Genomic DNA, 10,522 nt, shown 5'->3' on the forward strand with positions numbered 1-10,522 from the left:
AGCCCACATGTCTAGCTCTTCCTGGCTCTGCTCCATTCAGCTTTCACAGATGCTCCACACCAGTGTGACATCAGTCCTGCCGTTGTTATTCATTTGCATCAAATGTTACTGGAGAGATATGTTTTGTTAAGCTCACATAGTGACTATTTAGAATTCAGAAGAGAGAGAGACTTCTGTGCTTTCTGCATTCCAGGTTGTTGCAATTGATTTTTTTCTGCTTTTCTAACAACTGCCCTGATTATCTGTTTTGCTTCCATTTTCTGTTGCTTCTTGCCCTTTGCTTGCAAAACAAACAGGCAAGCCTGGTAAGTAAACGCTTTTCCCCCTAATTTGACACCTGCCCATTGCAACCCTTTGTTTGTTTGTTTTTCTATTTTTGTTATTTTTGCTTTGTGTATTGCTGCATTCCCCCCACATGATTTCATGATGTTTTGCCTGAAAAAGCCAGAAAAGTCTTCAGGAGCATTGTTTTGTTGTTGAGTGTAGGGTGTCTTTCTCCTGATTTGAAGAACCTAACTGCGTTTGTCATGTACAAAAGGATTTGTGAAGCATTCTTGCCTCCCCCGTCTCCTGGGAACGGGGTAATTCTATTTTTAAAAAGGGTTAGGTTGAGAGGAAAGGAAACCTGAGGCAGGTGAAGTCTTGGATCCAGGAAATCAGATGGACTTGGTTTGGTAAACAGCTCCTTTACCAAGTCAGGTGAAACATACACATGGGCTCAGATCAGCCCAGAATATACACCATACAGCGTGCTGGGAACTAAGAAAGCAGCCAGAATTCCAAGAATAAAAACAAGCATTTGATTATTAGAGACATGTTGAAAGGCCCTTTCTTTTAGGAGTGTGGGTGTGGCAAGCAGGTTGTTGGCGATTCTATGTTAAAAAGCTCCCTCTTCGCAAGCCACTGTGACACTGTTGCTCTGATTCCAGGGGTCACAGAGTTTATTATGGACAATGAGGCTCTTAATAATGGGTTACCAATACGGGACTCTTCCTCCTTCTTGGGGGCTTTATATACATTTTCTCATTTAATCTCCTGCAAATGCCAGGAGATACAAATACTCTTTCTTCCTATTTTAGACAAGGAGGCTGAGACTCAGAGAGTTTAAAACCCTGCTCAAGGTCACTCGTATGGAAAGTGTCAGAGTGAGAGCTCGAACTCAGGCAGTTCAGAGGCTCCTAGCCACTGGCCTGGGCAGCTCTGGGCTCCAGAGGCTCCTAGCCACTGGCTTGGGCAGCTCTGGGCTGCTGGTGGTGAGCGCTCTAGGAGTCCCACGATCGCAGAGGCAGGTGGGAAGGATATTCGGCATCTTCAGGGCCAGTGGTTCTCCAAGCAGGGTCCCTGCCCCAGCAGCATCTGCGTCACTGGGGAACTTGTGACCTGTGCACGTTCTCTGCCCCACCCCAGACCTCCTAATCTCACGCCGTGGGGTGGGGTGTAGCAGCCTGCGTGTGAACAAGCCCTTCAGCTGAATAAATCCACACTCACGTGGGAGAGTTTTTGGAAATGAGGTGCTGGGACCCTAAGAGGTCAGAACTTTAGAGCAAGCTTATGTCGGGACCGGAGCTGAAACCGAGGAAATGACCCCACCACACCACACGGTAACAGTGTGCCTAGTCCTGGGGTATGGCAAGGTGCAGATATGTCCGGAACCTAAGGGAAAGAAACTCATACAACAAAATCTCCCTGCTACTAAGGGAGCTGCATCCTCCAAGGTCTGTCATTACATGGGGCCCGTGTAGAGACGTGGTTATGATCACGGCTTCAGGCTTGGCTTTGGGCTCTGCCATTTTCTCAGTGAACAGTGACTTAGCTTCTCAAACCCTCTGTTCCGCCTTCTGTAAAATGAGGGTGAGAAAAGCTGCCCGGGTGGTTGTGATGCTCTAAGTTGTTCACTCGTCGCATGGACATGTATCAAGACATCCTGTATGCCCGGCACTATCCTAGGCCCTGGGGCAGAGCAAGTGGACAAAACAGACTCTGGTGCCTGCCCTCACAGAGCGTGCATTCATCAGGGAGATGAGCCGCTGATACACCAGCATAGGCACGCACGCACACACGTGCACACATGTGTGCACACATCTGATACAATGATAAGGGGTGGCTGCTGCTGCAAAGAGGAAAATGAAGGACTCTAGAGGAAGAGGAGCCATTTCCAGTACCTCTGGGGAGGTGACATGGGATCAGAGCCCTGAGAGAATGTTGGAGAGCCCTGGAAGCCCTGGGGCGGGACCCCCTGGGGCATTGGAGGCCTTCGTGGCTGGAGCAGAGAGGCCTGGGAGGGTAGAGGGCAGAGCATGTGGGCAAGGATTTGGGTGTTATTTCCATTTCAGAGGGAGGTCACTGCGGGGGAGCTCTGAGCAGGAGTGAGGTGGCCTGGTTTGCACATTAGGAAGCTCAGTCTGGCTGCTGAGTGCTGGCTTAGGGACAGTCAACACCTAGAGCAATCAGCAGGGTGCCCGCCACATGGAAGGGTCCAGTCAGCGCTGGCTCCCGTTGTTCTGTTATTTCCAGATGTGATCTGTCTATGGCAGCCAGCCCTCGGAGTCATTCCAGGTGGCAGGCAGCCCCCTCCCCAGTGACGAGGGCCTGGTAGAAAGACAGGTCTGCTGAGCTCCTTCCCCAGGAGCTCTGAGTGGGCGCTTCTCCCTTCCCCACTCTGCTGTCACCAAGAGAGCAAATGGTTCCTCACCCACCTGGGCCGGGGATGGATCCGCACAGAGGACAGAGGGGTGTTTTGTGTAGAGTAGTCAGAGAAGGCCTTTCCCATAAGTGTAGAAATGATTTTCTAAGCAGCCATAAAAAAAGAACAAAGTCATGTCCTAGGTACCAGCATGGATGCAGCTGGAGGCCATTGTCCTCAGGGAATTAATGCAGAAACAGAGCGCCAAACACTGAGCATTCTCATTTATAAGAGGGAGCTACACATTGGGTACACACGGACACAAAGATGGGAACAGAAGACGCTGGGGAGTTCACAGTGGGGGTAGAAGGGAGACGGGTTGAAAACCTGCCTTTCAGGTACTATGCTCAGTACCTGGGTGACAGGCTCATTAGAAATCTGTACCCCAGCATTAGTCACACAGTATGGCCATGTAACCAACCTGCACATGTGCCCCAAATCTAAAAATATACATTTTCTAGATATTTGGGGCAGATTATTAGCTTGGGATGGCCAAGGGCCGGAGAGGTGGGGCAGAGGACAATGGTTCCTCTCACCAGGATCAGCCACTCGGAACTGAGCCAACACTGAATTAATATTGTACATCACTGAGAAGCTAACCTTGACGGAAATAGCTCCGTGTTTCTTGGAGTTACAACACTTGCTGTATCGAAGACGCTATCTGTGCCTGCGTGAATGGAATTTCAGAGGAGATGCTTTTTTGGGCTCTGGGTTTCCAGATGTGTTAAGGATCTCCAAAGACCTCCTCTCTGTCCTGATACATAGGAGGGCCCATCCCTCACAGCCCAGACCTCACACCCTTTAATCGTCCCAACGCAAAATTCACTAGCGATGTCTTCTTTTTTACTTTACGGATCTGTCTGCTTGCTGTCAACAACCACATAGAATCACCAGGGACACCAATATAGACCTGTGAAGGGGCCGTACTGATCAGGTTAAGGAATAGTAATGGCTCATTTCTACCTCACGCGAGGCTGCACAGGCCCGGGTCTGGGAAGCCAGGGCTCTGGTTTTTGTTCTGTTAGAGACAGTCTGGGAGGGCTCTGGGGCGTGGGTTCGTCCCAAGGAAAAGCTGGGGTTTGAGATGCCCCCACTGGTGAGGCTGAGTTGCATCTGAGGCCTCGGCTGGCCCCAGAGACCCAGTTTGGACTTTCTGGGCTCCATCATTTGGCTCCTGGTCTCTCCTGCCAGAGGACGAACAGAGAGAGAAGTCAGTCTCCCACCAGACGGTGCAGCAGCTGGTTCTGGAGAAGGAGCAAGCCCTGGCCGACCTGAACTCCGTGGAGAAGTCTCTGGCCGACCTCTTCAGAAGATATGAGAAGATGAAGGAGGTCCTAGAAGGCTTCCGCAAGGTAGGGCTGAGTTTGGGGGCCACGGAGGAGGAGGATCTGATTGGGAGAGATTGTGGGAGCACTGGGAGGGGGTAGGATTCCAGAAGTTGGTCTTGAGCCACCTGCGAGGAGGGGGTCCATGCAGGCTGGGGAGGCAGACTTGGCCGCCTGGGGTTACACCTGCATCCGAGAGTTCCTGGGGTTCCCACCAGTGCTGGGCATTTGTTCTCGTGGGCTTGACGCCTGTCCTCTGCCCTGCTGTGTCAGAATGAAGAGGTGTTGAAGAGATGTGCGCAGGAGTACCTGTCCCGGGTGAAGAAGGAGGAGCAGAGGTACCAGGCCCTGAAGGTGCACGCGGAGGAGAAACTGGACAGGTAACATTTAGCCACTGGGGGTGGCTCCCAGGGGCCTCCCAGCAGCCCTTTTACCCAGGCAGGCTGGGACCTCTGGCAGCGCCTGTGACATTGGCTTGGAAAGGGGGCATCATCCAAGTGTGTGTTTCAATAAGACTCGAGAGAAGGCACACAGTTAGCATCATTTAATCAGTGGAGGATGCGTGTTGCAATGTCCAGGGTGCCCCGGCACCTTGGTCTCATGGCAATGGAATTGGGTTTGGTGTTCTCATGGGCTCCTGTGCTCCAGCTCCAGTTGGTGGCAGCTGGGGCCAGACCAGGCCACTCTCCCTGCCTGGACCTGGGAAGCAGGAGGTGTCTCTAGTGATCCACAAAAGAGTGATAATTCTGAGCTCCCTGTCTCCGCAGGGCCAATGCTGAGATTGCTCAGGTTCGAGGCAAGGCCCAGCAGGAGCAAGCCGCCCACCAGGCCAGCCTGCGGAAGGAGCAGCTGCGAGTGGACGCCCTGGAAAGGACGCTGGAGCAGAAGGTAATAGGGGAGGGGTGTGGCCTCCAGGTGGGCCGGGCTGCTGCTCTCTGTGCTGCTGGCCAGTCCAGCTAGACAGGCTGGGCTTCCCTGGCCACTGCTGCTCCTGAAGACGAATTCATGCTTCATGAGCATACCCTTGGTTCCTTCTAGAAGTTCCAATTTCATGCCAGCCCTAAGACCAGCTTCCTTTCCACCGTTCCTGGAACTGCAGCCTGCATGTGTGTTTACTGCCATTTTCATTCCTTTTCAACATTCGTTTATTTGTTGGATATTTATTAAGTGCCTACAATGTGTTAGGCGTAGCCCTTGAACCTCTGCATCCGGCATGCTTACTGGGTGAGTGGATGGGGTGCCCACCAGGCCCTGGCAGTGGTGGCCAGCTGATGCAGAACATGAGCAGTGTCAGGGCTGGAAGGGCGCCCAGGTGGCCTCTAATTCCAGGGACAGGGGTGATCTTCCCGAGGACACTGAGCTTGTGCGCAGGTTTCCTCCTTTTGGATCTGGCACCCCTCCATCCACTGTGAGCACTGTCTCCCTGGGTGTCCAGATAAGAAGCTCCCTCAGCCCAGGAGGGCCCTCTGAGCGTTGGGCTGTTGAGACTGCGTGTGTGTGAGTGAGGGCCAGCCTCCCTCCTTGGATGTGTTTCTCAAGGAGAGGATTTCCAGATGTGCAGCCTCCTTCCAGTCAATTTCCTGAGCCTTGGGGTTCCCCTGCGTAGTCATCCACGAGCCCAGCAGCCTGGGTTGGCAGCACAATTTTTGCATTTTGGGCCTTGATAGGCAGTGATGGGGCATCCTTTGTTGGCATCAGAAATCCATGTGCCTCCCGAGTGGCCTCTACTACCGCAGGAGCACCCAGCCAGCCCCAGGGGATTGGCTGTCCTCCTTTGCCCACTGTGGTTGGTGGTGGTCTCTAGGGGCATTTGGGCCAAGCAGTGGTGATCTCTGCCCTGGGCAGGTGCCAGTCCTCACTCCACCTAAGTAATGTTGGGGAAGGAGCCCTGGGGAGCAAGAAATGGGGCTCCTGTCCCCACTGCACCATCTGTCATGGCCCTGGGCAAGCCTCGCACCCCACCTCAGTGTCTAGGTTCCATCTAGCCCTGAAAATTAGAAGCCTGTATCGTTGGGCAGATGGATTTCCCTGAGGTCCATATCTGATACTCACCCAGTCTCCACTAGGCCCTGTGCCCTATTGGATGTTCCTGGTTATCCAGAATTTATTCATATTACAGATCATTATTTTCATTCTTTTTTTTTTTTTTTTTTTTTTTTTTGAGGCAGGGTCTTATTCTGTTGCCCAGGCTGGAGTGCAGTGGTGCAGTCATGGCTCACTGCAGCCTCAACCACCTGGGCTCAAGTGATCCTCCTGCCTCAGCCTCCTGAGTAGCTGAGACCACAGGCATGTGCCCCCTACCAGGCTAATTTTTTTAATTTTTGTTTTCGTAGAGATGGGGTCTCACTTTGTTGCCCAGGCTGGTCTTAAACTTCTGGGCTCAAGCAGTCCTCCTGTCTCAGCCTCCCAAAGTGCTGGGATTATAGGTGTGACATTAATTTAATTTTTTACCTTTCTTCTTAGGATGAAAAAGACAGATGGCTACTAGACAGTTTTAATATCAAAATTGCATTAGAAAATAGTTTGGAATATGCATATGTTCAACTACCTGTTTTGTAGGCTCTGATGATTGTTCTTAGCAGTATCCTCAGAACGACATATGCGGTCACAACTGTCAAGTGCAAGTTTTTGCTCACTCACCCAGTATTTATTGAGCATCATTATGGTTTTAGTGTTGAGTGTGCATTTTCTATTCCTTGTCTCTTGATAATCTATGTATGGCATATTTGGTGACTTGAAAAATGGAATGTTTCATTAAAATAAAGATCATACTAGAAGCCAGGCATGTTGGCATGCGACTGTGGTCCCAGCTATTCGGGAGGCTAAGGTGGGAGGACTGCTGGAGCCCAGAAGTTCGAGGCTGTAGTGCACTGTGATTGTGCCTGTAAGTAGCCAGCTGCATTGCAGCCTGGGCAACACAGCAAGACCCCGTCTCTAAAATAAAGAAATAAAAACCATACTTCACAGTCATTTTGGCTATTGTAGCAGTTGAACATACAATGTTTCTTGGTGAGAAATGTAGCAATGTGTGTGTTTGAGATGGTTCCCCCATTTCCATCAGGGTTTGATGGTGTTTAAATTGCATTATCTTAAACTGAACTTCCAGAGGAATGAACAAATCACACAGGTTCTTCCCTGAAAGACCTGAGTGATATCTAGGGGATAGTCCCATCTTAAAGAGATTCAGAAACATGATTCACCCAGACAATTCTTGAATGGAGGCGCTGGGCATTTCGCCCAATCAGCGCTCTGTAAAGGCTTTTGCTCCATGAGCTGAGCTTTATGATGAGGCAGTTTGCTTAGTGGTGGCTGATGACGCCAAGAGAGAGCTTGGAAAACCTCCGGGAATCACTTTCTAACGGGTCTGCTGATGCCTCTTAGCCATCAGTCACTGTACATAACGTTGTTTAACAGTTATAATGGCAAAGCCATATAGGAGCTGGGGCAACCTGAATTTGTGTTCCAGGCTTGCCACATCTGACTGGCTGTGTGACCTTATACACAACCCTTAACTTCTCTGAGCCTCCATTTCCTCACTGAAAAATGAGGATAATACTGGCTTCCTTGAAGGCACTATTGAGGGAACCAGGGGAGGCCAGAGTGCCTGGGATGTCTTCAGCATGGTGAGCAGCTCACGGTGGGCACTCCAATAAGATGGAAGATCACCGTTAGCAGCCCCAGCAGGGGCCATAGTGGCAATGAGAGTTTTTTTTTTCTTTCTTTTTTTTTTTTGAGATGAAGTCTGTCTCTGTTGCCCAGGCTGGAGTGCAGTGGCGCAATCTCGGCTCATTGCAACCTCCGCCTCCCAGGTTCAAGCGATTCTCCTGCCTCAGCTTCCCTAGTAGCTGGGATTACAGGTGTGTGCCACCACGCCCAGCTAATTTTTTTGTATTTTTAGTAGTGACAGGGTTTCACCGTGTTGGCCAGGCTGGTCTTGAACTCCTGACCTCTGGTGATCCACCCGCCTCGGCCTCCCAAAGTGCTGGGATTGCAGGCGTGAGCCACCACGCCCGGCCAATAATAGTAATTTTAAGATTAGTGGTCAGTGCTGTATCCCATTCAGAGCCCCATCGTCCAGCTGGCATTTCAGTGCCTCTCTCGAGTTGTTGACCTCAGATGCAAATTTGAGCCAGGAGGTGGGCCAGGGTTCTGTTTGAGGCAGGCTTCTCCCACAGTGGGGACTGCTGCTGGGAAGGACTGGAACTTCCCCTCCACTGAGGAGAGCCACTTCCTCCCAGCACTGACACAATGATGAATGACACCAGGAGTTCTAACCTAGAAACAGAGGGCACGTGGCTCTGGGCTGGAACATGTCTCAGGAGTTCTGAGGTTTTCAGGGAAGGGCTCTGCACAGCCTCAGGGACAGGCTTTTGGTGAAGACTGATCTTCCATGGGAATCTCAAGGAAAAGCTGGCTGCAAAACATCCCCAGTATGCTGGAGGGATCCAGCCCCCTTGGAGAAGGCCATTGGAGATCGGTCGTGCTGTTGAACTTGATCAGCATCAGAGCCAGCATGTAACCTATCTGAAAGCAAAGCCACACGTCCATGATGGAGGGATCGTCCCGTTGGATCCCCTCACTTTCTGAGAAGATGGACAGTGTAGGATCATCTGTGCTAGACAAACCTGTGGTTGGTTCCCCTTGATTAGACAGGCAAGGTGTGGTGGGAGAATCACCTTAAAGCCAGCTCGCATCTGCCCCCCACCCCCCATGACCCTGTAGCCACAGCATCACCTATTTGGCATCCCTCTGAGCAATGCCAGTGATCCCATTCACGTAGAACTGCGTAACCCTCCTTATGCTACATCTCAAAAAAGCCACCGAGGGGTTTACCCCAGACGCTCCTCACCTCAGATCACATCCTTCCCGGGCAAATAAAGGGAAAGGAACCAGACTAGTTAGTCCTTCACTCTGTGCTGGTCACTGCCAGGAAACTACATTTATCACCTCATTTACTTCTCAGAAAGAAACATGTTATCACCTATGTTCTAGAGATAAGGACACCAAGGCTCAGAGAGGTTGTGTAACTTGTGGAAGATCACACAGCTACAGCTGGGATATATACTCAGATTGTTTGGCTCCAAGTCATTTGTCTCACTGCTTTAGTGGGGACCAAGGGGCCTGGTGGTCCCCCATCTCCCCAAAAAGCCCCATGAGCATTCTGACTGGCCAGATTTCAAACATCAGCAACTTCTTCCTTGTCTTCACTTGCAGAATAAAGAAATAGAAGAACTCACCAAGATTTGTGACGAACTGATTGCCAAAATGGGGAAAAGCTAACTCTGAACCGAATGTTTTGGACTTAACTGTTGCGTGCAATATGACCGTCGGCACACTGCTGTTCCTCCAGTTCCATGGACAGGTTCTGTTTTCACTTTTTCGTATGCACTACTGTATTTCCTTTCTAAATAAAATTGATTTGATTGTATGCAGTACTAAGGAGACTATCAGAATTTCTTGCTATTGGTTTGCATTTTCCTAGTATAATTCATAGCAAGTTGACCTCAGAGTTCCTGTATCAGGGAGATTGTCTGATTCTCTAATAAAAGACACATTGCTGACCTTGGCCTTGCCCTTTGTACACAAGTTCCCAGGGTGAGCAGCTTTTGGATTTAATATGAACATGTACAGCGTGCATAGGGACTCTTGCCTTAAGGAGTGTAAACTTGATCTGCATTTGCTGATTTGTTTTTAAAAAAACAAGAAATGCATGTTTCAAATAAAATTCTCTATTGTAAATAAAATTTTTTCTTTGGATCTTGGCAATAAGTGTGCCTCGAATTTATTTTCTGGGAAGGGTTGAGTCTTTTCTCACCTTTGTCAAATACCAGATTTGGCTTCGTGCTCTTCTCTGTCTGGGCTCATTTCTTTGTCCATAGACTTAAATAATATTTCCTTTGTTATCGTGGCTGCATTTGTAGGATGAAGCTAATGAGAAATACTGACTTTCTACTTAAATAATTAAGTGGAAATTAATTAATCTCAGCACTGGATTAGCTGAGATTTGGTTTTTACAAAGCCTCATGACTTTAGGAAGCAAATCTATTTCATTTTATTGAGTCAAGGAAGTAACAGACTGCCACTCTTTCTGTTCAATCCTTTAGTGTTTGAAGGTCAACCTGAAACCCCCATTCCCCTCTAAAGAAAGCACTGGGAAAGGGTGCACAATTGCCAGTGGCCGGCAGGTAATTAGGGCACTTTGGAGATTAAACTAGCAGTGTGCCTGGCCTGAGATCGCTTCATTGCTGCCGACTTGCTCAGGGTTCCCAGGTTGAAGGGTGGGTGGATGAGGGGAGTCGGGGGTGGAAAGGTGTGATCATTTCCTAGGGCTGCCATTAACAAATCACTGCAGACATCTGCAGCTTCAAACAGCAAAATTTATTCTCAGTTCTGGAAGGCCGAATCCAAAATCAAAGTATCAGTGGGGTTAGTTCCCCCAAGAGGCTCTGTGGGAGTCTGTCCCATGCCTCTTCCAGCAACTGGTAGCTGCTGGCTCTCCTTGGCGTCCCTTGGC

At 49.9% G+C, this 10,522-nt stretch overlaps 1 protein-coding gene across 55 annotated transcripts in view, besides 1 other annotated feature; it reads left to right on the forward strand.

Annotated features, from left to right (window-relative positions):
* The window catches only part of TACC2 (transforming acidic coiled-coil containing protein 2), a 265,380-nt gene extending 255,606 nt beyond the window's left edge, over positions 1–9,774 (forward strand). For all 55 annotated transcript variants that reach the window (NM_001291877.2, NM_206862.4, NM_001438366.1 and 52 more), the window contains 4 exons: positions 3,875–4,035; positions 4,282–4,388; positions 4,776–4,896; positions 9,223–9,774. In NM_001291877.2, coding sequence (NP_001278806.2) covers positions 3,875–4,035; positions 4,282–4,388; positions 4,776–4,896; positions 9,223–9,288 — 455 coding nt within the window. In that variant the 3' untranslated portion in view covers positions 9,289–9,774. The remainder of the gene's footprint in view (positions 1–3,874; positions 4,036–4,281; positions 4,389–4,775; positions 4,897–9,222) is intronic.
* Positions 854–1,800: an enhancer, noted in NCBI's record as "H3K4me1 hESC enhancer chr10:124005137-124006083 (GRCh37/hg19 assembly coordinates)". NCBI's record gives its function as "activates a minimal SCP1, AML or CMV promoter by ChIP-STARR-seq in naive H9 embryonic stem cells {active_cell/tissue: H9 hESC(naive)}" and the evidence as "EXISTENCE:reporter gene assay evidence [ECO:0000049][PMID:30033119]".

This window comes from Homo sapiens, chromosome 10 (assembly GCF_000001405.40).
Source record: "Homo sapiens chromosome 10, GRCh38.p14 Primary Assembly".
NCBI lineage: Eukaryota > Metazoa > Chordata > Mammalia > Primates > Hominidae > Homo > Homo sapiens.